Genomic DNA, 27,177 nt, shown 5'->3' with positions numbered 1-27,177 from the left:
GTGATGTATACCATCACCTTCTTCAATGTCTTTCTACTCTGTCAAACACATTACAAACAAGCTTTCATGTCTACTTCCTCCATGAAAACTGGCAACATCATGGTCATCAATGATTTCCTTTGCTAGATTAATTCTCAATCCTCATCTTTAAAACAACTGATCAGCCCTCTACTTCTTGAAACACTTCCAGGATTCCATATTCTCCTGCTTTCCCTTTTACATGGAATGCAGCTCTTTTTCAGACTCCTTTTTGGTTTCTCCTCATCTCATAATGCTGACGTACACCATTATGTACCAGATTTTATGACGTAAAGTCTGGTCCCTGGTCATCTTCAATATTCTAAACTCACACACTTTTGATGCATTCAATCTCTTCGCTTTTACAACCCGCTATATGATGAAGAGTCCTAAATGTATGCCATTAGCTTGGTCTTCCAGCTAACTGCATGCTTGACATTTCCATTTGGATATCTAAAACCCATCTAACACCTAACATATCCAAATCCAGATTCTTAATCCCAATTACATCTTCTTCCTGTTCTTTCCAATCTCAGTTAACAGAAACTCTTATCTTTCCAGTTGCTTAGGCAATTACATTCTCCTTAATTTCTTTTGCTCTCACATTCCATATCCTATCTCTCAGCAAACCCTGAGGAATACACCCTCAAAATATATATACAGAATATGAACTACTCACCACTTCCACTGCTATCATCCGGGTCTAAGCCACCATGATCTGTCACATAAATTATGATAGCCTAACTGTTATCCCTGCTTCTATTCTTGCTTTCTTCAGTCTGTTCTCAATACAGTAGGCAGAGTAATGGTATCAAACAGATGTGTTAGATCATGTCATTCCTCTTGTCAAAAGGCTCCAATGGCCTCCAAATGGCTTCAAGTAAAGGTTATCATTACAATAGCTTAGCAGACCATGTAGTACTATCTGGCCCCTATGACATTTAAAATCCCATATCCTACTTCTCCTCTATCCTCCATTCCACTTCAGCTACACAAGCTTCTTTGCTGATCCCTGAACACAGCAATGTGCCCGGCCTCTGCACTTGCTATTTCTCTGCGCCCGGAAACTCTTGCCCCAAATATATGGCTTACTCCCTCAACTGCTTCAAGTCTACTGAAATGTCACCTTCTCCAGAGGACTTCCGGTAAAATCCTATTTTAAATTACTAAACACACACTCTTTTTCCTGCTTTATGTAATAAGTCCATAGCACTTATTACGGTTTCACCTTATATTTTTCTTATGTACTACATATACTGTCTCCCTCCACTAGAATGTATATTCCAAGAAGCCAGAAGTTTCTTCTTTGCTTTATTCCAGTGTCAAGAACACTGCTTGGCACGCAGTAAGCAATCAACAAACAATTGTTGACTAATAAGTATTGAGTGTTCTACCTAAATATAATAATGCTTTATGTAAGCAATTAATAAATTACATTTCATTCTTGTTAGTCGTCCTACATTAAAGGTCTTTAATACTCTTTTTATGTTATCAGGAATGCATTACGTCATCCTTATTAAGAGGAGTTACTTTTACATTTCCCATAAGTCTTGAGATCAGACATTACTGCCGATTGTAAAGGAGAAAAAAAATCTCTAAAAAATTAAAGGTGAAAGTATTGTTAAAATAATTCCCCTTTCCATTAAGAATTCTTGGGGTGTGGGAAAAAATGGTGAAAATCGTACTTAAAATACCAAGAATCCAGTTTTAAACCCAACTCTTCCTTTTAAGCTTTTCCTCCCCCATTCTCCCAGAGCACTTCGTAGGATTAAGCCAGTGCTCACCATGGTCCCTTCTCCTGAGGACAGGAACGGAATCTCTTCTCTGTTAACCTGTCACCAGTCAGCACAGAATCTAACTCACAGATGACAAAGAACCGTTACCAAATCGAACTCACTGGAGTGGATACTACAGGATCCTATGACATAATTTTTAATGTTTGTCAAGATGTATTCCTTCAACAGAAGCAACACCATTATCTTAAGGTTCTCGGGTGGTTAAAAAAAAAGTCTATCTTTTCTGTTCCGCAGGGATAACTGCAACACAACTTTCAGTCCAGCAACTTAATCCACAGTTAATTAATCCTTTACACTCCTCAGGATGCAAGCCCTAGTAAATAAAGACAGCTTAAGGACCATAGGTTGAAATGTAAAGGCTACTGTATGCTATTCAATTGCTATTCTAAAAGTGAGGGGGAAAAGAACACAAGGCACCAAGAGACGCAATACAAAGGAAAAATGAAAAAAAAAAAAAAGCAAAGAATGTGGGGGAAAATAGGGAGGACGAGCTATGAAGCAATGCAACTGTAGGGCAAATGTGGTAGTAAGCCAGACGTTAGGGTAGAACCAGCAGCGCAGGCTCTGATCCCAGGCTGCTCTTTCCATGGCTTCTCATAAACTTCCTTAAGAAAGCCATCCTGGGCGTCCACTGGAGCGGCATTCCACGCGCGGGGGCGGAACTGTGCTGCGCGCCATTTCGAACGCGCGGGCCCGCGGCGCCGCTCTTTACCTGCGCCCCGCTAGCGCGCCGTGTCGGGCTGCCTGGCCGGCGTGCACTGCATACGTGTGTGAACGTGTCAGAAGCGGGGACTCGGAGCTGCTACGCTCCTCTCCTAAGACAAGCGGCTTCGGGAGGTGGGCGGGGGCCTTGGAGCGGGTTGGGAGCTCCTTTGGCCAGCGCGCCTCGCGGACTGCCAGAGCCAGGTGCCCCGCGCGCCACCCCGCGGAGTCGCTCAGAACCCGCCGCCGGCCGGGCGCCCCTCGGCCCCCGTACTTCACGCCGGGTCGGCGCCCCGGGCCCCGCGCAGGGGTGCGGCCCACAGCTCAGTCGCGCCAGCTTGGGTAGGACGGAGGAGCAAGGAGACACGGACCGCTCGGCCGAGGCCGCGCCGCCTCAGAGCGCGGAGCTTGTTTTGGCAAAACTTTGAAAAGAAAAGGACTCCGATTACCTGAGCGGCGCGGGCGCGGGCTCGTCTGCGGTACGGCTGCCGGGCCAGGCCGGATTTTCAGCAGCCGTAAAGCGGGAGAAGCGGGCGCGAGCCGCGGCGCGAACCCTCGCCCCCGAGCGGCGGCCCCGGCGCCTCCGCCGCGAGCGTCAGCCGCTTGGCAAGGAACGGGCTGGGCTGAGTCATAATAAAAGACGCGTTTGTCGAGCCAAGTGGGAAGAAGAGCCGCGGGCAGCAGTGTTCAATGGCACAAGCCTCAAAAATTGGGAAGGATTTTTTTTTTAATGGGCAAAACTGGAAACTTGCCCCCATGGTGCCCATCAAAAGATATGTTTCGTTTATAATTTGCATATATTTTATACATAGTCTTTGAATCTAATAAAACTTTTAAAAGAATTTTTAAAGCCCATTGCTTGCAGAGCCAAATTCCTGGTTATAGCTTCGTGACTTACGCAAGTTACTTGAATTCTGTGCTTTTGTTTTTCATCCATGAAACAGGATAATAAAGGTACCTCCCTCAAGAGAGACTGCGAGAGAGCTTGGCATCCTGCCTGCACTTAGCACTCGCTAAATGTTAATTGTTATTTTAAAATAGGAGGGAGGAGATAATAAAGAGGAACTTAGATAACAGTTTTGAATGGAAGAAGATACGAATATAAATCAAGATTTTTCTTTTTTCAAGTGGAGTAAATTAGACAAATTACCAATGGAAGAGAAGAAAGTGGAGCCTGGAAGGAACAAACGGGGCTAAGAGAAGTAGCTGAAGCGAGGGAAGGAAGAAGGGGGAAGGAGGAAAGAAGAGAGGAAGAGGGGTGAATAAAAGCCTCCAAGGAACAAACGAGGCTGAAAGATGTGGCTGAAGGTAGGGAAGGAAGAAAAAGGGAGGAAGAGAGGAAGAAATAAAACCAAGGAAGCAAGAATAAAGCTAGGCTGCGTGGGAAGAGGGGAGGAAGGAAGGAGAGAGAAATTCAACTAGGCTCAGTGGCCAAAATGCTGAAGTGTGTCCTGCCGGGAGGGAGTGGAGGAATATGTTTACTCACTATTTAGAAATGCATGACAAACTCCATCCGCTGAGGGAGATTTTTACAATGTATAAACAGAGAAACAACTGTCTAAAAATGAGCCCCAAATGAGGAGCCTTTGCTCCAGTGAATGAGATTTGGCAGTTCTGCAAAATGAGGAAATTCTTCCTTGTGCGGCATCTTGAAGGGTTGAGTCATGAAACCCACAGCAAATATTAGTGGGCTGGATTCCTGAAAGGCATGCCAGATGGACGCATTCTGGTTAGTTTTACTGTGTGATGTTCCCTTCTGTACTTCTGTCAATTTTAGAAGAAAAGAGTGTGAATAAAGATTTGAGAAGTGAACTTAAAAGCCAAACTAGTTACTTAATGTACGAGTATCCACCCACCAGGAGCTTACAGTTACAGATTCCAAAACAAGCAACCGTTTCTCCCACTTTCATTTTCCCTCCCCTTTGTTTCTACTTTCACCGTATTGCTTTTTATCCATTTTTATAATATGATTTTTTACAGTGGAACCGCCTACGGGAAAGGTGCTTTTAATTAATACGAAAGAATGGAAGGAATTTCAGCTAGGCCTCTCTAAGAGGGTAAAGCTTTGTGAAAGAAAGGTTTTTTAGCTGAAGTTTTAATGAGAATAAGAGTAGTTGGCAGATGTGAAATCAGAAGTTTTTTCAGACAAGAAAATAATACGACTCGAGTGAAAGGGAATGGACTAGAAATCAGAAACAGTTCTATTCCTTAATTACCGTAAGAACCAAAGACTGGAGGAAAGTTTTTCCTATTCTATAAAGAAAAATGGGGGCCTCCCTCCACCAGCCAGACCTTCAAAAAAGGAAAAAATAAAAATTAAAAACCTCTATTAGATTCTTGTAATGATTTGCTTTTTCTTAGGAGAACTTCTTCAGGGTAAAAGACGTGAAAGTGCTTCTTTCGGCAACTTCTGACGAAATACTTTTGTAGAAGCAAAATTTCTGAAGGGATAATTTTTGCTCAAGCAAAAAACTATTAGTAAGATAAGAATCCCTTTTCCTTTGTTTCAATTTTGCTAAGCCTTCAGGCTGAGGCAAACAGATTATCATTAAACCTTTATTAATGTGAAACCAAAAAAAGATAAAATCTTAAATGCTGCGAAGCCCTTAACCTAAAAGGAGCAAGAAAACAAACCAAGGCCCAGAAAATAGAGAAAGGGATTAGGAAGCCTTTCTAAGGGGAACCTTTGAACTGTGGGCTGTAAAATGAATGTCTGTGACTTGCCTTAAACAAATAGGCAATATAAACTAAAGCTGGGAACTAAGAAGATCTCCTCAGATCAGATAAAAAGCTTACCTTGTGTGAAACACTGTGGTCAAAGAAGAAAATTCCTTTCATCTTAAGTGGAGACAAAAACGTGTATCACTTGTTTTGTGTGTGCTCATAAAACACCTCCATCACCTGAATCCCTTGGGTGCAATTTTTTGATGGACTTGGCATTCTTTAAACTGAACCTTGACTCAGGTTTTGATCATGTGAATTTATCCAGAGGTGGATTGTGAGTAGTAAGTGTTTGCTTTTAAATCACTTAAATCCATCACTCATTATGTTAATAATTTAAGTTAATATTTTATTAAATAGTGATTGGCTTTTCCAGGTGTTTTATAGATAGAATATAAGCTATAAATATGTGAATTTGATGATATTACAAGTGAATTTATATATACAATTGAATTTAGCCTTAGTGTGCTAATTTGATTTCCATTTAACATTTCATAGACGATTATATTGGAAAAGATTGTTTGGATTTCAAAAGATATTTTTCTCTCTAATATAAAACCTCAGGGTAGTGAGGATTTCCTGCCGCATTGTTACATTACCTGTTGCTAAATCACTGCATAAAAAGAAGCAATAGTTAAACAGCCAAATAGCCTCAGCAAATTTACAGTTTTGGAAACTAATTTCAGGAATTCCTCGAAAGACTGTGTCAAAACTGAAGTGTGGTTGCCAAGCCAAATTTGAGCTTTAGCTGACAACAGTGTGTTGCAAGATTACTTAATAACCCAGCTTATTAAGAGGGGACGGTCTTAAAAGATGCAGACTCTTCAACCTAACTGCCAACCAATGAATGGATAGAGAAATGTGATAAGTTATATATATATATATATATATATATATATATATATATATATGATGTATACACAAACACACATATATACATATACATGTGTGTATATATGTATGTATACACACACAGACACACACACACTCCATGGGATACTACTCAGCTGTAAAAAAGAGTGAAACATTGTCTTTTGCAGCAACTTGAATGGAACTGGAGGCCATTATTCTAAGTGAAGTAACTCGGGAATTGAAAACCAGATATCCTATGTTCTCACTTATAAGTTGGACCTAAGCTATGGATAAGCAAAGGCATACCGAGTGATATAATGGATATTGGACACTCAGAGAGGGGAGAGAAGAAGGAGGGTGAGCCATGAAAAATTATCTGTTGGGTACAATGTACACTCCTTGAGTGACAGGTGCACTAAAATCCTAAACTTCAGCACTATGCAATTCATCCATGTAATCAAAAACCACTTGTATCCATAAAACTATTGAAATTTTTAAAATGTTTAAAATTAAAAAACTAAAAAATAAAAATAGTAATAGGGAAGATAGGACTCACCAAAAACAAAAAACAAACAAAAGATGCAGATTCTTGTTTTTTCCTGTCAACCATATATATGTGTTTATGAAAACTGATGTACATATTTTAGAAGTGGTCTACTTGAAACTATTCAAATCCATAGCACTCTAAACTTTTTAGATATTTGAGGTAGGTTTAAGAGTGGTCACCCTATGTTTTTAGTTTTTGGAAACAACTAGACATTCTTAGTTAAAAATTATTTTTGCAAGTCCTTTTTTCCATTTTTTTTTTTGGTAAAATATGACAAAATTTATCATCAACAATTTTTAAGTATATAGTTCAGTGGTATTAAATATTCATAATTATTGTGCATACATCACCAGCATCTATCTTTAGAACTCTTTTCATCTGATAAAACTGAAACTCTGTACCCAGTAAACAATTAGCTCCCCATGTGCCACCCATATTGATTATCCATTCATCCTTCTATTAACAAAAGACCAATGAGATCTGTGGAAGCAAAAGGAGAAATTTATTTTCTAAAAGCAATCTGTAGATTGGGAAGATGTAGTCTCTGGTGTAGAATGAAAGTGTCCCTCGAGGAGAGGTCAGAGAGTAGGAGATTATAAAGGCAAAAACTGCAGGATGAGGGTGGGGTGGAAATCAGGTGTGGGGTTGTGGGGTTTGGACTGGATAAAGTTTAAGCAAGACCTCACAAGTGTCTCTTTATTGGCTGGCCTCAGGTGATCTGTTTGTGGTCAGTTTGAAAATTTCCAGCTGCAGTCTATCTCGGTTCCAATAACAGGAACTAGTTTGGCTTGACTGCAAAAAGAAAGGCTCTGTGACATTTTTACAGTCTCTTTCTGAGAACACAGAGTACATGGCTATTCCTTCACCCAGCTATGGTCACCTTGCTCTATTTTAACATAGAGTGCCTCAGCCACAGGGAATTCATTTTATCTGTCAGCCAGTAGCATACTTTAACACTTTGATGGACACTTGGATTGCTTCTATGTTTTAGCTATTATAAATAATGCAGCTGTGAGCATGGGTGTACAAATATGTTTTTGAGACTCTATTTTCACTTATTTTGGATCGATAACCAGGAATTGGGATTGCTAGATCATATGGCAATTCTGTTTTTATTTTTGTGGAACTACCGTAGTGTTTTCCACAGTGGCTGCACCATTTTACATTCCCACCAACAGTGCAAAGAGTTTAAACTATATCCTCACCAACACTTTTTATTTTGTGTTTTTCTGATTGTAGCCATCCTAATGGGTGTGTAGGGATGGATAGATGTGATACTTTTCCTCATTCATCATAAAGGTTATGGCCAAGATTCCTGTAACAAAAGAAAAGTAACAAGACAAAAGCATAACAAATTTGTTTAATTGAAGTTTTACATGACACAGGAGTCTTCAGAAATGAAGACCAAAGACCTAGGGAAGACTATTTTTAGGCTTAAGTTTGATGAAGAATGGGTAGCCATGTAGAATTGCGATTAGACAAAAAAGATACAATCTGTGATCTACAGACACGTAGAAATGTGATTGGACCAAAAAAAGTAGAGGATTGGGACTTTTAGTCACACACACCCCACTTTGGGAGAGGAGAGGGGCTGAAGATTAATTTGATCACCAATGACCATTGATGTAATCAACCATGTCTACATAATAAAGCCTCCATAAAAACCCCAAAGGACAGGATTTGGAGAGCTTCTGGATAGCTGAACACAGAGTTTCCTGGAGGATGGTGAACCTAGGGAGGGCATGGAAGTTCTGTGCTTTTTCCCACACACCTTACCCTCTGTATCTTTTCCATCTGGCCATACATCTGTATCCTCCGTAATATTTTAAAATAATAAATAGGTACACATAAATAACTGTTTCCCTGAGTTCTGCAAGCCATTCTAGCAAATTACTTAAACCTGAGAGTTGTGGGAACGCTGATTAATAGCTAGTTGATCAGAAGCACAGATCATAACTTGTGGTTGCAACTGACTGGCATCTGAAGTGGGGAACACCCATGTGGAACTGAGCCCTCAGCCTGTGGGATCTGACACTATTACCAGTTAGATAGTTGCAAATTGAGTTGAATTATAGGACAGCCAGCTGGTGTCAGTTGCTGAATTGATTGTTTGCTTCATGTGTGGGGAGAAATTCCCACGTATCTTAGTGATTAGAGGTGAAGTATTCTCTGTAGTATTGAATGTATAAGAAAAGGCAAAATATCCTTTTTTTTCCCCCTGTATATCTTATACTGATTCAGTTTTGTTAGTAGCTATAGGTCTACTCAGATTTTTGTATTTCTTTGTGATTTAGTTTCCATGGGTTTTGCATTTCTAGGAATTTATTTATATCATTTAGGTTATCCAATTTGTTGGCATACAATTGTGTATAGTACTCTCATAATCTTTTTTTATTTCTGTAGAATCAATAATAATGTCCTCACTTTCATTTTTGATTTTAGTAATTTGAATCTTCGTTTTTTCTTTGTTCATCTTGCTAAAGTTTGTCAATTTTGTTGATCTTTTCAAAGAACCAACTTTTGGTTCCATTAATTTTCTCTATTTTTTATTTCTATTTTGTTGATCTATGCTCTAATCTTTATTATTTCCTTCCTTCTAGTAGTTTTGCATTTAGCTTATTCTTGTTTTTCAAGTTTGTTAAGCTATAAAGTTGTTGATTTGAGAACTTTCTTGGCTCTTGATCTAAACGTTTATGACTGTGAATTTGATCCTTAGCACTGCTTTCACTAGTGCCATGAGTTTTGGTGCTGTGTTTCCATTTTCATTTATTTCTAAGTTTAGATCATTTTCCTGTGATTTCTTCTTTGATCCAGTGGTTGTGTAAGACTGTTTAATTTCCTCAAATTTGTGAATTTCTCCTGCTGTTACTGTTTTCTAACTACAACTAATTGGAGTTGGAGAATATACTCTGTATGCTGTTTGTCTTTTTAATTCTATTGAGACCTAATTTGTGATCTAACATGGTCTATGAAAATGTCTCATGTACTCTAGGGAAGAATGTGTATTCTGTTATTGGATAGACTGTAAGGTACATATCTAGTGGATCTAGTTGGTATATTGTGTTGTTTAAGTCTTCTATTGTCTTATTCCATTGAATTGTACTGTCCATTATTGAGAATAGGATATTGAAATCTCCAACTGTTGTGGAATTGCCTATTTCTCCTTTCAATTCTGTCTGGTTTTGCCTCCAACATTTGATGGTCTTATATAGGTGTGTAAATATTAATCATTGTTATATCTTGTTGTATTAAACTTTTTACTAATATGGATTATCCTTTATGTTGTAAAACTTTTTGATGTAAAGTCTATTTTGTCTGATTTTAGTATAACCACCCTTGCTCTCTTTTGGTTACTATTAATATTTGCAGGAAACATATTTTTCCATCTTTTCACTTTCAATCTATTTCCGTCTTTGAATCTAAAATGACTCTTTTGTAGATGCATATACAGTCGTATGCCATGTAATAATATTTTGGTCAACAGTGGACTAAAGATATGATGGTGGTCCCATACAATTACAATACTTTATTTTTACTATAACTTTGTTATGTTTGGATATGTTTAGATTTAAAAAATACCTATCATTGTGATATAATTGCCTATGGTATTCAGTACAGTAATATGCTGTACAGGTTTGCAGCCTAGAAGCCATAGGCTATACCTTATCACCTAGGTGTGTGTACACTAGACCATCTAGGTTTGTGTAAGTACACTCTATAATGCTCACAATGATAAAATTGCCTAATGATACATTATTCAGGACATATCCTGGTTGTTAAGCAGAGCATGACTGTAGTTGGGTCCTGTTTTTTATTCATTCTGCTAATCTCCATCTTTTGATTGGAAAGTTTAATTCATTTATGTTTAATTATTGATAAGGAGGAACTTGTTTCTGTCATTTTGCTATTTTTTTCTATATGCTTTATACCTTTTCATATTTCATTTCCTGTAATACTGTCTTCATTTTGTTGAGTTGATTGTTTCTAGTGAAACATTTACCTTCCTTTCTCATATTTTTATGTGTATATTCTATATCTACTTTCTTTGTGCTTACATTGGGGGAGTATAGTTAACATTCTAAAGTTATAATAATCTTACTTGAATTTACACCAGCTTAACTTCAATAAGATATTGAAGTTGTGGTCCTTTAGAGCTACTTTAGATCTAGGCCTACCTTTTTTTGTTTTCGATGTTATGAAATTACATCTTTATAAATAGTGTACCCCAAGTATTCATAAAACATAAGCAGATAAAATTGGAAAACTTATTTTGAAGTTGAGTAATCTCCCTGTCATACTCTGAAAGTACGGAAGTTCACTGTTAAGAATTCTTTCTTAGTAATTAAACCATGGATTCTATCTACATCTGTTTTGACTATAAAGATACATAGTATTTGAAAATAGCAGATAAGCCCTCACACATAGACAAGATTCGTTTTCATTTCTAATGATTTTAAAGTTCAGAAAAACAGAAATTTGTGCATATAGTGCATTTTATGCTAATATATTGTACAGTTTCTAAAAGTTACTATTTTTGCTGAAAACTGTATGATAACAACTATTAATATTTTAATTCTATAATAACTGAAAAAATTATTAAATTACCTTTGAATCACAGACTCAAATTATTGACTACATGAAGCTTCCACTACTTTCAGCACATTTTTGGGAAATAAATTTCCTCATGAAGAATCCAATGGGGAAAAAAATCCATAAATTAGAATCATCATGCTTGCAGTGTTTTGAGTTTTTTGAAAAAAATGTTTTTGTAAAGAAAGTTATTTAGCTTAGAAAGTAGTACTTAGGAAGTATTGACAGTGTGTGTATGACTTCTTGAAAAATAATCAGCATGCAGACACTATTATTTTCACTAATATCTGGGTATTCCATACATTTCTCAGCCACCTTTGCAGTTATATTAGTCATGTGATTGAGTTCTGGCCAATGAGATGTGGACAAAAGTATCCCATGCTCTCTTTATTTGTGAATTAGATGTGGAAAAACTCCAGCATAGGATCCTATGTATTGTGTTTTTTACAGTCAAGTCAGGAAAAATAAATCATGCTTTTTATTCAAAGAAAGGAGATTTAATATCAGAACATTGATTACACAGGTGTGTAATCAGTGAAGATGAAGAAGCACAAAGTTACTTTTTAGTTCTGAGATAATAGCAGGAAACAGCTACTACCCTAGGGCTGGGTGTAATAGAGAGCTTATTCAATGGTATCCAAAACCCCCACTTCCTGATACTCATGTCCTCCATTCATACATGACCCTCCCCTCAAGGATAGGCTGGACCTAATGAAGCTTCTAATGAACAGAACTAAGCAGACATAATCAGAGACCAGTTTAAATATTAGGATATAAAAATACTATGGATTCTGTCTTGGCATGTTCTCTTTCACTCTTTGTTGGATGACTCACCCTGGGGAAAGCCAGCTGACATATTACGAAGCAGTCTAGCAGGGAGAGAGCTTATGCGACAAGGGGCTAAAGCCTGCCAACAACCATGTGAGAGAGCTTTGAAGCTGATTTCTCCTCTACCAGTCAAGCCTTCAGATGAGTCCACAGCCTCTGCCAACAATTCTAATACAGCTCCATAAGAAATTTTGAACCAGGGGCATCTATCTAAGCTATGTCTACATTCCCAACCCTCAGAAACTGAAATAATAAACATTTGCTTTAAGACACTAAATTTTGGGTAATTTGTTATGCACCAATAATAATAAATACATCAGGGAAGCAAAAGGGAACAGGTGGGTTACGAAAACTTAGGAACTCAGAAAATAATTAATCATAAATTATTTGGTCAGTCCTCTGAGAAAGGGCTATATATTATTGTCACCCTTAAAGGTGGTATGGATCCCCTTCCTATTATAGATATGAGGTAGAGGCTGCGGACATTCCACACACCAGATAAACTTGAGAAAAAGTTTATTACTCACACAGCAACTCCTAAGGCAATAAGAACAGGCTGTTATGCTCAGGGTTAGGGTCAAGCTCCAGCTGAGGTCCAAGGGGTGTAGGTAGATGTGGGGCATGGAGCTAGAAGAACACCCAGAGACAGCAGGTAAATGAGACATGGCTTTATTCAGCGGCTCTCTCATCAGCAGCTCTCTTACACTGTCCTCTCTGTCTTGGCTGCTTGAGCCAGCTGCTCCCATGCACAGCTGCACAGCCGGCTTTCCCTTGCCTTCAGGGTCAGCAGCTTAACTCTTTCTCTTTCTTGGCACTAGTGAGCTGAGCTGTATCCTGACTTCCCCTTGTTTGTCTGCAAGACAGACAGCTCTGGCTCTCTTTCTGGGCACAAGTGTACCCCACACAGTGTCAGCAGGGCAATTATACCTTTAACAGACAATAGTGGCTTAGAGCTAAGTGATGGCCTTCCCATGTTATGGCTACATGGCTATGATAATAAGTGGAGTTACACATCTGCACTCTAAACTCACTGAGACACTCTGGATATTTACCTCTGCCTATTCTTTACCAAAGCACTGTGATCCTTACACAGGCACAAGCAGGTTCATGCTGATTTAAGTCAGGCAGAAGGAGTGGGTTAAACCATAATGATGGCTAGGGAGTGGGAAGGGGGAAAAGTTCCTATCCATAGGCTGGCTACTTGCAAGATTTGAATTTTCCACCAGTGCCAAAGGAGGAGGCACACAGGCTTTCTTATCGGCATGTTCAGATGTGGGGCCAAATGGGAAGGGGGAGGTGAGGCTAAAATAAGTTAAAAGTCAAACGTAAAAAAATGAAGTCAGACTCTATTACAGGGTGTCTCCTAGCTACTTTCTGTACTTCAGGAGTGCAGAGGAGAGACCCCAGGAGATGGTGCTCTGACCTCTTAACACAGAACACAATTGGCTGCAGCTGATCCCTCTGAGAGACTGTATGACCAGTTCTGAGAATAGTAAAACACAATTAAGATGGAATCTAACTGCTTCTGCTCAAACCATGCTGACAGGAAAAAAGGAAGTCCTTCTTTTCTTTTCCACCTTCCAAAATCCCTTTAGTGACAAACACCTATTAGCAGAAATTAATAGATGTCTCAGAAATGTACACCTGTGCTCCAGGTATACACTAGCACTACAGAAAACACTATGGAAGCATAGATTTGAAGCAAAGTCAATGGGCAAAAAACCAGTACACTCCTTACCTCTGTTATCTCAGCATCTGTGCACATCTCCTTTCATTTTTTTTTTTTTTTTTTTTTTTTGAGACAAGGTCTCTTTTTGTTGCCCAGGCTGGAGTGCAGTGGCACAATCTCGGCTCACTGCAACCTCCGCCTCCCAGGTTCAAGCAATTCTCCTGCCTCAGCCACCCTAGTAGCTGAGATCACAGGTGCGCACCACCACACCCAGCTAATTTTTGTATTTTAGTAGAGATGGGGTTTCACCATATTGTCTAGACTGGTTTTGAACTCCTGACCTCAGGTGATCCACCTGTCTCAGCCTCACAAAGTGCTGGGATTACAGGCGTGAGCCACCACACCCGACCCTCCTTTCTAATTTTTAAATTCTTTAGCAACAATCTCATGATTTTGCATTTATTCAGACAAAAATACTTTTACCCTCTACCCTAAAAGGGGAAATACAGATAAGAATGTTAACATCACCTTCTTGATCTATCAGTTAGCTTAGTCCCTCTACTGGTTCAGTCATAACTACCTCAGATACTCTATAACTGAGCAACAAAGTAAAAATGCTAATCATCACCACTAATCCTTATCTAAATTAATTACGTAGAGAAGAGGGAAAATACTATGTGCAAAGTTGCTAGTCCTTGTTTCTGTAACTAATCAGAAGAATTTTTTTTTCTTTTTTTTTTTCTTTTTGAGATGGAATCTCAGTCTGTTGGTCAGGCTGGAGTGCAGTGGTGCCATCTCAGCTCATTACAGCCTCCACCTCCCTGGTTTCAGTGATTCTCCTGCCTCAGCCCCCCAGGTAGTTGAGATTATAGGCACGTGTCACCACGCCAAGCTAATTTTTGTATTTTCAGTAAAGATGAGGTCTCACCATGTTGGCCAGGCTGGTCTCGAACTGCTGATGTCAGGTGATCCACCCGCCTCGGCCTCCCAAAGTGCTGGGATTACAGGCATGAGCCACCGTGCCCAGCCAAGAAATGTGATAATTGTAACTTCTCCCACTATCCACGACATGTTCCATTGACCTCGGCCAGTGTCTCTGCTGGTCGTATTTATTAACCTGGTAGAGTAACATCAAATATTTATTTCTGAAGATCTAATGACTCAGTCATTTTGTCTTTATTGGACTTCTGTTGTTTTCCCTTTAATTTTTACTGTTGAATACATCCATGCTAAAAGGTAACTCAGAGAGTCCACTTGTTATCCTCTCTGTGCCCATTATGTAGTAGGAGCCTAATTTTTCTCTGAAAATCAGAGTCAATCACTTCAGCCAATAAAGTATCCCCTTCTTTGACAGTTAATTCATTAAAAGTTTATGAAAAACCCAACATAGCTATGTGGTAGTCTCGACATCCAATTTGATGGAACAGGGGTTGTGTCTCACGGTGAAATTATTCTTAGTTCCTTTGGGAACTGAGGTTACTAAGTTAGCAGGGTCCAAAGTTTCAGGGATGGAAACCAAACTTTTGTAAATGGATAATTAGGTTTAACAGTAAGGGAAGCCACTTTTATTTCTGCCTCTTGACTCTCAGAGCCATGAATTTTGGCTTTGGGAGAAATAGCACCGTATGTGTTCAAAACATATATTGTATGCTATAGCAGATAATCTAAGTCAGTGACATAGGGGGAAAGACGTGTGACATGGGGGAAACACTATTTTTGTCATAATACAGTGTTGAGTGGGACTTCAAGGTAATAAATTTTGGCATGTTGGAAGTCTATGAATGGTGGTGGTGGCCAAAGCATTGCTGACAAGTAAAGCAAATTCATATCCAGAACAACTGTGCATTTTTGTGAGTTCAAATCTCTGACCTCTCTGTGGAGGAGAAACTAGATGAGAAGAGCGTGGGTCCTTGAGTTCTTCCTTAGAGGTGAGACACTAGGAGAGCCACTGAACCTAGAACATCTGTTTTGGACTTTGGGTATGAGAAATAAATGTTTATTACATTAAGCCACTGATATTTTGGTGCTGTTTATAACATCTTTTAGCTTAGTCTGACTATTTCAAGCAGGAAATTTGAAATTTCCCTTCAATACAAAATTAAAGAATTCTGAAGATCTATGAAAGTGTTAAAGACTTAACAGTTTTTACATACAAAATCTTCATTTCTTTAATGTAATATTTAAAATACACATATTTTCATGTTAGAGCTATGCATTGAATGTTGTTTTTTAAATTTATTTCCTTTTTAAAATAGAGATAAGGTCTCGCTGTGTTGCCCAGGCCGGTCTTGATCCTGGGCTCAAGCAATCCTCCCACCTCAGCCTCCCAAAGTGCTGGGATTACAGACAATAGCTACCATCGTGCCTGACCACATTTTGTATGTTCATTCAGAAATGAACTTCCATGTCTGAAATAATGAGGATAATTTAAAATTTTTATTACTACAATTACTGTTGGTATGATTGATGGATATATGTTTTTTAAATTTCAAGTAGTTCAAAGAATATCCCCCTCTCTGTCCAAAAGACATGTTTGATTTTTTAAAAATTAGAGAACTATTCATGAAATTAAAATCTTAATTACTCAAAAAATTAAAAGTGAAGTGTTTTTTTGCCTCCATTCCTCATTTTTTTCTTATGTGGGGTATAATTTTCTTCTTTCTCCCTTGTGTTTCTGATCTTCCTAAATGGTTTATTTACTAAAAGGATGAACTGTGTGATTGCCAATTTTCTTTTTCGTCATGTTACAAAGCTTTTAAAATATGATCACATCTTGAAAATCTATTTTTTACAAAAATTACTGATACAAGGCCAGACTATAAGGTGGAAACGAGACTTGAGAATTTCTCTCTCCCTGCCCTGTCAATATACCAAATGAACCGGGAAAAAATATTAAATGGTATGTGCAGCCCAAGCTCTGTTTATTGAATGGATGACTTAGCATGAATATCTGTGAGGATTTTTCATACTAAAGGGTATCTTAAATAACTACAGCAAAGCATTCCTAAATATGATTTAGAATCCACTTTGATATCGAAAATACAATGATTGTCTAATGATTAAAAAGAAAGATGACTACTAGAATACAGAATGGTTTTAATGACTGTCTTAGTCTGCTTTGTATGGATGTAACAGAATACCAGAGACTAGGTAATTCATAAAGAAAATAAATTTATTTGTTACAGCTCTGGAATCTGGGAAGTCCAAAACTGAGGGGCCACATGTGGTCACCTTCTGGTGAGGGCCTCATGCTGTATCATACCATGGTAGGAGGCATCACAGAGCAGGAGGGACACGCGAGAGAGAGCCAAATTGGGTTTTATACAGACCCACTTCTGGAATAATACATTAATCTAGTAAACCATTAATCCGCTTATGGGACCAGAGTCCTCATGACCCAATCACTTTTTTAAAAAATTTATTTTATTTATTTATTTAATTTATTTTTGAGATAGAGTTTTGCTTTTGTTGCCCAGGCTGGAGTGCAATGGCATGATCTCAGCTCACTGCAACCTCCGCTTTCTGGGTTTGAGTGATTCTCCTGCCCCAGCCTCCCGAGTAGCTGGGATTACGCCACAACCGGCTAATTTTTTATATTTTTATTAGAGACAGGGTTTCACCATGTTGGCCAGGCTCGTCTCCATCTCCTGACCTCAAGTGATCCACCCACCTCGGCCTCCCAAAGTACTGGTATTACAGGCGTGAGCCACCGTGCCCAGCTTCCAATCACTTCTTAAAGGCACTACTTTAGGATGTAAAAGTACTTTTACATTGGGGATTAAGTTTCAACATGAGTTTCAGAGGGGACAAACATTCAAACCATAGAAATTATATATTAAGCCTTGTGTAAACAAAGGCAAAATAATCTATCCCAAATATTACATAATTTTTTTCAACTTTCTTTATATAGTGTATATGTTTGAGGTTTCTTCAGTTCACCACTTTCATGATTTTCTACATTAAGTATAAAATTGTGTCTATTAATGTAACTTTCAGCTCGTCCATCCTGACAAACAGTCTGTGTAATATATATCTGTTACATCTCTTTTTCTCTGCAATATGTCCTCGCCTTGGGGAAATGGTTTTCTCTACCCCATATGAATGTGATAGGACTATCTAGAAAAGGACCCTACTCTCTATCACCACAGAGGCAAATTTGTGATCTCAAAGCCCCTATACTATATATATATATGTATTTTTTTTTTTTTTTAGACAGTCTCACTCTGTCACCCAGGCTGGAGTGCAGTGGTGCAATCTTGGCTCACTGCCACCTCCACCTCACAGGTTCTAGTCATTCTCCTGCGTCAGTCTCCTGAGTAGCTGGGATTACAGGCTCCTGCCATTATGCCCGGCTAATTTTTGTATTTTTAGTAGAGACGGGGTTTCAACATGTTGGCCAGGCTGGTCTCGAACTCCTGACCTCAAGTGATCCACCTGCCTCGGCCTCCCAAAGTGCTGGGATTACAGGCTTGAGCCACTGCACCCAGCCCCAATACCATATTTAGGGGAAAGAGAGTTGCAATTATTTATAACGCTGTACAGGCTCTAGGCCTAGAGCTGCTGACAGCCAGGTTCCTCACTTCATGTAGAGTCTCTTGAGGAAAACAGAACCAAGACAGAAAATGTTCTGATGACACGGTATTAGCTGCCACCTGTGTCTACACGCTTAGACCTCTCAGATAAGTGAATCATATACATCCTGTTTTTCTTAAGTGGATTCCTGTCTTTTGCAACCAAAAGTTCTGAAATTAGAGCCCTCATGTACCACCTTTCACTGCTTATCTTGATGAGATGTCTTTTAAATTAATTTTATAATATTAAAAAATATGATGAAGGAATCACAAAAATAAATGTAGCAATTAGAGAAAGAAAAAAAAAATCATGCATAACGTCTTTATACAAGTCTAAGATAAAAAGTATTTTCATTAATCCCCAAATAGGAAAGAGTGAGGTCAAGTTATTGTTCGGTATTACAAAGCAATGTTGGCTGTGCTTACCCATACTGGGTATCATAGCTTTTAGGCCCTTGCAGGGTACAGAGCACTGATTTCTTATCCAGTACCACATGACTTGTTCTAGACTTTCTCCCCTGCCTGTCTTCTGTCACCTCCCACTCCAATACTCCAATCTGCTCTGGGTATGGCATTCCCAGACTGTTTTCTGTAAGCCTCCCTCCCTTATTGATTATGGTGTTTCCCCCCAACCCTTGCCCTCCAGGAGAGACAGGCAGGATGGACAGGGCTGGATTGGGTAAGAGTTGCCCTTTGTCATGGAGAAAATTCTGGGAGGGCTTCACAATGAATACTCTTTCTTTCTCCCTGGCAATTCCATGACGGGTCTTTCTCAGAGACCACCTGTAAAAATCTGGTGGTTTTCCTGAGGAAAAATCCAAGTATGTAAGGGGCTGTCTTATGACTATGACTCTTGAAAGCCCTACATTGTTATACCAGCATGCACTAAGCCTCCAGCAATTCACTAAAAATGTTATCTAAATGTTTTTACTCCTGCTTTGGAGTCCAGTGGTTTCTGCTTCAGAGAAACAGATCTTGGTGGCTTTATGTCTCTGGATGTACCTGACTCTAAAGTTTACAAGGTGGTGGTTTGCCTTGTGCTCTTCTCCATTCTCTGATGTGTCTAACTCCCTAAGTCACATTTAAAAAAATTTTTTTCCCAAAAATTATAGCATTAAAAATATAATTACAAAAGTAATTCATTTGCATTAAAGATATTTGGAGTATATAGAAACAAAAAGAAAACTAAAAATCAACCATAATTTCAACATGTGGATATGATGACATATATTCTGACATCTATCCTTCCCTGAGTTTTTCAAAAATATTGAAAGCATTAATTCACTTATGTATCATTAAAAGATGCTTCTAATTTTCCACTGGCCGATGTAAATGCAGAAAAATCTCCTTAGAGCAGATGATATTATCTCTACACGGACCCATTTGTTTGTGCACATTGGTCACAATGGCAAAGCCTGGGAGTATCATCCTGGAATCTTGAGTATGGTGCCCTTCTGAAGCCTGTGCTGGAAACTGGGTAACTGAGGGCAACAAGAGAGGGCAGGGATGCTTCAGTTTAGGCAATACAAAGTTTATACAGCAAGTTTTAACTGGCAGCAGTGGGAACAATGGCAAGCCTGATGTAAGCCCTCTTAGGGGACTGGTCACAGTTTCCGTTTCTTTCTCTGCCTAAGGTTTTGGACAGTACATAAAGAGATGAGCCTTCAGAAGGAGATCTTGGACTTCCTGATAATATGAACATTGGAATTCCCAGCAACTAAATAAAAAGAATAGCTCTGTTATCAATTGTTCTTCTAAGATTAAATGGGTCATATTTATAGTCAGATGCATTTTTACAAAGTTTACTCCTGTTTTTATTTATTAACATTTCTAAAGACTTTGGAAAATGTAAAGCCAAGCCTGCATTAATACAAGCTTCTCTTACTGATATGGTTTGGCTGTGTCCTTATCCAAATCTCATCTCGAATTGTAATCCTCATAATTCCCATGTGTCGAGGGAGGGACATGGTAGGAGGGGATTGGATCGTGGAAGGTGATTCCCCCCATGCTGTTCTCATGATAGTGAAGGAGTTCTCCCAAAATCTGATGGTTTTATAAATGGCAGTTTTCCCTGGGCTTTTCTTTCTTTCCTGTCACCTTGTGAAGAAGGTCCTTGCTTCTCCTTTGCCTTCTACCATAATTGTAAATTTCCTGAGGCCTCTCCAGCCATGCATAACTGTGAGTCCAATTAAACTTCTTTCCTTTATAAATTACCCAGTCTTAGGTAGCATTTTTATAGAAGTGTGAAAATGGACTAATCCACTTACTTTGGGAAATTCTTGCAAAAGTTTAAAAATTGTAAGTAGTAGAGAAGACCTCAAGTCCTAGAGTTTCAGAGTTAGTTTTCCTAGAATGAAGTGATCACAGGAAGCAGCAGGAAGGGAATGGAGAAATAAGAGGACAAAGCAGAGGATGCCAAAACAAGTGTGTTGATGACAAGATTCCTTCATTGGGCAACTGGTGCTCAGTTCCACTGTGACTATAGGGGGGTTACTCCCTGGTCCTCCTAACCTACCCTGTGAATAGGTTAAGAACACTCCTATGAGAAAGGCAAAAGTTGCAAGAACTTGCAGTAAAAAGTCATCAAAATGAAACCAAAAGGTAAGTGCCTGCAGAGGGGATGTGATTGAGGCACCAAGAGCACCTGCTACACCTAGGATGCTGTTTTCCAGCCCAAGTTCTACTAGAAGGCTCTGAATGGGAGGTTCTTGAACCTGGGTTATCTATCAAAAGGTGCTTTTTAAAATTTCCATTGGGCTGTTTCTTTGTTTACAGTTGCCTTCATTGGAAGAGCTGATGGCTAGCTAACTCTATGCCTGGATTGCACTTGCTCAGAGGCAAGATTCTTTTCAAACGTGTGGACAGAGAGCATCATTTCCCAAGATAATTTCCTTAATAAGGGTAACTTCAATCTGGAAATGGAGGTCTTTAGTTTAAATCATTCCTGGTCAGCAGTGTCCTTCCTCCCTCCTCAGCCCCAAACATCTCTGTGTCTGTTGTGGAAGTCTAGAATTACCTCAAGCCGTTGTATGATCTCTCTTAGGACCCAATATTGTAACTGGGTGTCATTACCCCAGCAAACCCCCCATTCAGAGAGCCTATTTTCTGGCTTTATCTTGGACACAAAAGTTCAGACATTTTAATTTAACTAATTATCTAGTATTTCATATAGTGATAAGTTATGTAACAAAATAAAGCAGGATAAAGGGAAATGAGAGTCTTCTTGGGAACTAATTTAGAGACCTGACATGCTTTTGTGTGGCCAGTGTCAACCTTTCCCTCATGGGTCCATGAGGATCTGAATGCCAGTCTCTTAACCGGATCCAGAGATTTCTGGTCCTCACTCCCAGGCTCTGTTCCAGAAATGTCTACCAACAAGGTGAAATGGAATGGGAAAAGGGGAAAGGAAATAAATCAGACTGGTGTTTCTCCACCAGGGCCTTGTATTATGTAGGCTGCAAGGTATGCTACTATAACAAAGGGACCAAGAAACTTCAACAAGAAGAAGTTTATCCTTATCCATGTAATAACTTAGAGATAAGTAGGCAAACTTGTCCTTGTAGTCATCTCTGCCATACTCAACTTATAGCTGTGACCTTCCTGTGCAACTCTGGAAAGATCCTCCAATGATTCTCATCCACCCATCAAGGGAAAGAATGGCCTATTCCCAATCATTTTTAGCTGTTCAAGTCTCAGAGTGGTACACAGTACTTTTTGGTTTTTTACATCCCTTTGAGCAAAGCTTTGTGATGTGGTTACCCTTAACTGTAAGATATCTGGAGATTATAAACTTTAGCTGGGAAGATATGTGACTACTTTCTACTCTATTATATGGAAAGAAGAGAATGGATAGTAACAGACAACTAGCAATCAGCTACAAATCTCAACAGAGCCAGAGGCTTTACCAGCACTCACTTGCCTGTTAATATCAGTTGCTTCAGACTTGAAGTGTAAGAATTGGAGGGAAAGAAAATGGCAGGTAGGTCATTATGTTTCTTACATTTTCTGTTTATCTCTATTGTAGGTATTTTATGAAATAATAAAAAGCATCCTAAAGATTTTTAGAAGTAGGAATACTTATATTGTAACAGTTTTAAATTACTGATATTAGTGGTATCAATATTGTGTTAGATTAAATTGTCATCCACAGATATGCACTTCCTTATCCCTGAAGGAGGGGTATATATCCATGCCAATTGCTAGGTGAGTTGCAGTGCTTCCCCATGTGAACAATATACATACCTATACTATTCATGCTATGCTTGATCATGCGGGTGATATGTGCCACATCCAAGCAGGAGTTTTGAGAACCATGTAATAACAGTGTGTCCCAAATAGGGGCTCAGCCCCACATCCTACTCACAGTGACCCTCAGTTGATATGAAATGCAAGTAACTCATAAACATTTGTTTGTGTAAGCCACTAAAATTGTGGAATTATCCTTTACCTCAAATCCAATCTGACTAATATAATCATTATTATTGTACATGAATCTGGAACTTAAGAATAATGTATAAGAATGAGTGATATTGACTAGGGAGGGGATGTAGTAGGATGAGAAAACAGGAGCATCAACAATCACCAACATTTAAGGAGTGCAGAGAGGAACTAGATGCTGCAAAGGACACTGATAAAGAGCGGACTGAGTTGTAGAAGGATCAGAATAAAAACCAGAGTATTTTTCATGGAAGCTGACTAGTAAGGCTTTCATCAGAAAAACATAAGCATAAACACCTCTAATTATTTTAATCAGAAAGATTTGTTATAACTTATTAGAAATTTGGACAATTGCTGTTAATAATCGCAGCTGACTACATGTTTGCAGAAGCCGTTACTGGTGCCCATTGATTCCAGAAAAATAATTGATTTTTGCTTCCTCTCTTTCAAATCTCAAGCAAGTTCTCATTGTTAGAATGTAAATTACTGCAAAATTCTGGTGGGAAAGGAATTTGAAAATTTTAATTCCTGGTGTTTCTAGCTCCAACAATAATTAGAAGAGAGTAGAAAGGAGTGAGGATGAATGTTTACTGAAAAAAAAAATCTAGCACAAAAGCCAATAGAGGAAAGGATTTCGGAAAAAGAAGAAAAGTGCCAATGAGGCCAAATAACTTAAAGAGGTAAAATACTATATGAACTAGAAGTAGCCATTAGAATTATGAACTAGAGGGATTATTGGAAATCATTTCCAAAATAATTATATTGAAAAGTTATATATGAAAATCTTCTTTGAATGACTTTAAATGGATATGAGAAATGAAAAAACATCGACCACTCTTTCAAGATAGGAATAGAAATAAGGATAAGGAGAGAAAGAAAAGGGGTGGCAAAATAAAGAAAAGAGATGATGCAGGATCAAGAAAAAATAATTTTAAAGTGATCGAGACTCACTCATGTTTCAGGTAGAGAGGAAGTAGTAAATAGAGAAGGAAGCGCTGAAGGTACCAACAAGAATACAGTTAATGTAGCAAGTCCCAGAAGAAAATGCATGTGTATAGGAATCAGATTACAAGTAGTAGGCTAACCTCTAAGAGAAGGTGGGATGCCAGCATCCTCTAAGACTTAATTAAGGGAAAGAGATGAAGATGGGCATAATTGTAGATATCCTTGTAGCTAAGAAAACGAAATAGAATGTAAGGAATTTATGCACAAATGATGTTTCTTTTTCTCATAAAAAGGAGGGCAGAGTTATCTGCTTATCAAATGAACAAAAATAAAAATGAATAGTTCTCAGTGCTGGTGAAGGTATTTTAAACTAGAATCTTACACATTGTTGTTGAGAATATAAGTCATCTATTTTTCTGGTAGTAATATGGCAATCTGGATTGAGAAATTTATGTAAACACTTACCTATAACTGGGCCTATATGTCAATTTTGCCCTGCGCCTGCATTGAAGACAGTTGCAGCATAGTCTTGCTAAGCCAAAACCCCAACAAATTTAAGTACAAATGCATTAGTAAAAAATGCACTGATGAGAATTACATTACAGTCACAATACAAAACTTTCTATAAAGTTTTTGGCTTGGGGAAGGCAAGAAAAACTCTCAAACTAATCTTTTGATGCCCCTTAGAATTGTTATAGACCTTATAAATATACAAATATAAAGAAATGGAAAGTTTGAGTGAAGTCACATAGTGCTTCTTTTTACCTTCTCATATCATCCTTAAGTACTCAATAGACCCAAGTTCAAAAGATGGTACATAATCACCAGATGTCCAAAGCACTTCTCTCTAGGTTAAGAGGCAGATTTTCTAGACAGCTATGAATGCTAGAACTTGATGGACTGCATACCTAGGACATGCAGACAGTGGCTTAAGAACTTCTTCCGGATCACCAGACTAGTCTACAGCTCTACTAATAGGACAAATGTATGTGTGGGACAGATTTTTTTAAAAGCAGCAATAATAACATTGTATGCTTGTTGCACATCAGGAACTATTCCAACTACTTTACATGTGTTAACTCACTTATTTCTAAAAATAACCCTTTTGAGATATTTATATTGTCGTCTGCATTTTACAGATGGTGCAACTGATCTGCAGAGAAGCTAATTAACTTGCCCAAAGTTATGGAGCTAAGGAATGGCTTTAGAAAGCAAAAGAAAAATTTTTTATTAAGAAATGAAAAGAAAAAAGACGCAGTATGGTGAGGCCCTATGTACAATTTATTCTACATAAGAAGGTGGTGGGGATCAAATGCAGTATGCATTCATTGAATAAACAACAGTATATGTTGTTGGTCTTTCCTCAGTGCTATGTTAACTCTCCTGTTCTTTGTCATTATGGTCTAAAAGAACCTTGATCATGTGGACATATTACAAAATAATGTATTGGTACACTAGATTTATGACATCTTATTAACGGAAACTGATGAGCAATAGATGGAAAATACTCTGGGTACCTTGTTAAAATATATGTTTCAAGAGGTGGGAGATAAACTCTATAAAGTTTCAAGGACATGATACTTCGCTGAAGTTTTTAGTGATCTTGTCATCCAGGGCATCTCTTCCAAAGTAAACAACAATTTATCGCACTACTCACCAATACGGAATAAGTACAAATCTTAGTGAGTTCATTTGGATTTTAGAAGTAGCATATTTTGCACCTGAAATGCTGCCCAAAACCTTCTGTTGGATGGTTTGGGAGTCTGCTAGTTTTGAGTGCAAACTCAGAGTAAGTAAGGGCTCTGACTGTGGGCTCTGACATGTTCTGACTGTGGTATAGGTAGATCTGCTTGGACCATATAACCCATCATATACGAAGGTATTAGAGAAAGATGCTCTCTCGAGCCTCTAGCAAAAGTGAAAAGCAGAGTCAAAGTGTACACTCTTACATTCCAGAGCAAGGGCATGCCACCTGTACTGGCTACCAGTTGATTTATTTTTAGCTTCAAATTTTTGTATTTGCCTGCTCTGCATTAATGGAGCTAAGTCCTTTAAATATTTAAATATTTTCCTTTGGGGACCGGGAGTGGTGGCTCATGCCTGTAATCCCAGCACTTTGGGAGGCTGAGGCTGGCGGATCATCTGAGGTCCAGAGTTCGAGACCAGCCTGGCCAACATGGCAAAATCCCGTCTCTACTAAAAATATAAAAAAGTAGCTGGACATGGCAGTGGATGCCTGTAATCCCAGCTACTTGGCAGGGTGAAGAGGGAGAATCACTTGAACCTGGGCAGCGGAGGTTGCTGTGAGCCAAGATCGCACCACTGCACTTCAGCCTGGGTGACAGAGCAAAACTCCGTCCCCACTGCCCAGCCCCCTACAAAAAATATGTGTGTGTGTGTACACACACATACATACATATATTTTCCTTTTGAAAGTTGGCACTGATTTCTTAGCTGAGGGCATTGGAGAGACATTGCAAGGACAAAATGGTTTTGCTTCCTATTTCCCAATGCATGGTTGGTTTCTGAACGCTCCTGCAGCGCACAAAACTTCCCCTATACTGCTGCAGCATACAAAGCTTCTCTAGCACCAAGCTCTTGCAACACTTGTAATTTCTCCAGTGCTGGACTCCTTCAGTGCACATTGGCCATCATCACCCAACGGTCAGCAGCTACCCCCAGAACCTCTCATAGTGGGAGTTTGTGGTAAATTGCCTTCATTAAGACACCTTCCTATTCTATGCCTTGAGTAATGAAGTTATTTGTCTTTGACTCTAGCATCTCATGTTTTCTGCCAGCATCTACAAATCTGTTGCAGACTAACTGGTTAGTTGTCAAGGAGGACAAATATCAGACCCTTCTCAGTTCCTGACATGAGGTCTAGATCTCATCTCTGGGTGGAGGGTGAGACTCCTCTGGGTGTTTAATCTCAGCCCTAGGAATAATGACTGTTCCTTTATTTGATCCTCCTATATTCTGTTAAATTTTCTTACTTCTTACTATCTAGTCTCTTTATATTCTAATCCCTTATTGTTGCTAATTTTTTATATTAAACTTTTCGTGTTTAAATTACTGTATTGCTTTTCTTTTGATAGGACTCAGACTGATAAACCATTTGCATGAGAGAACTATACACCATTTGAAAAAGAGCTTTTTTGCAAGGTGTGGTGGCTAACTCCTGTAACCCTGGCAACTCGAAAGGCTGAGGCAGGAGGATCACTTGGGGCCAGGAGGTGGAGACCAGCCTGGGCAATACAGCAAGATCCTGTCTCTAAAATAAAGAAACAAATAAAAGAAAAAGAAAAACAGCTTTTGGTATACTACTGGACTCACATAGAAACCAATCTTCTGAACCTAGAACATCAAATGACCACATAATAAAATAATCTATCTTGAACTGAGTTAGACCATTAGTTAACAAGTCATAACATTAGGCAACCTCAGCAGCGATCTGTTGTAAAATGGAAGTGTTATATTTAAAGTTTTGGGCTCAATTAAGTC

At 38.7% G+C, this 27,177-nt stretch overlaps 1 protein-coding gene and 1 long non-coding RNA gene across 8 annotated transcripts in view, besides 2 other annotated features; one reads left to right on the top strand and one right to left on the bottom strand.

The window, feature by feature from the left end:
- The window catches only part of NAALADL2 (N-acetylated alpha-linked acidic dipeptidase like 2), a 1,369,567-nt gene extending 1,366,551 nt beyond the window's left edge, over positions 1-3,016 (bottom strand). For all 7 annotated transcript variants that reach the window (XM_017006077.3, XM_047447876.1, XM_017006075.3 and 4 more), the window contains exon 1: positions 2,966-3,016. The gene's annotated coding sequence lies outside the window, so the exon portion shown is untranslated. The remainder of the gene's footprint in view (positions 1-2,965) is intronic.
- Positions 2,599-3,250: an enhancer, noted in NCBI's record as "H3K27ac hESC enhancer chr3:174158538-174159189 (GRCh37/hg19 assembly coordinates)". NCBI's record gives its function as "activates a minimal SCP1, AML or CMV promoter by ChIP-STARR-seq in naive H9 embryonic stem cells {active_cell/tissue: H9 hESC(naive)}" and the evidence as "EXISTENCE:reporter gene assay evidence [ECO:0000049][PMID:30033119]".
- On the top strand, positions 3,349-26,898 carry LOC105374226 (uncharacterized). The gene is made up of 4 exons (XR_924729.3): positions 3,349-5,521; positions 22,134-22,273; positions 24,816-24,938; positions 26,772-26,898. It is a non-coding gene; the product is annotated as an uncharacterized LOC105374226 (long non-coding RNA).
- Positions 3,879-5,078: an enhancer, noted in NCBI's record as "CDK7 strongly-dependent group 2 enhancer chr3:174156710-174157909 (GRCh37/hg19 assembly coordinates)". NCBI's record gives its function as "activates an origin of replication core promoter dependent on BRD2, BRD4, P300/CBP, MED14 and CDK7 cofactors, with strong dependence on CDK7, by STARR-seq in HCT116 cells {active_cell/tissue: HCT116}" and the evidence as "EXISTENCE:reporter gene assay evidence [ECO:0000049][PMID:35650434]".
- Positions 26,899-27,177: the final 279 nt, after the last annotated feature.

This window comes from Homo sapiens, chromosome 3 (genome assembly GCF_000001405.40).
Source record: "Homo sapiens chromosome 3, GRCh38.p14 Primary Assembly".
Lineage (NCBI taxonomy): Eukaryota > Metazoa > Chordata > Mammalia > Primates > Hominidae > Homo > Homo sapiens.
The sequence above is the reverse complement of the archived record's forward strand: the minus strand, read 5'-3'. Positions and strand labels throughout refer to the sequence as shown.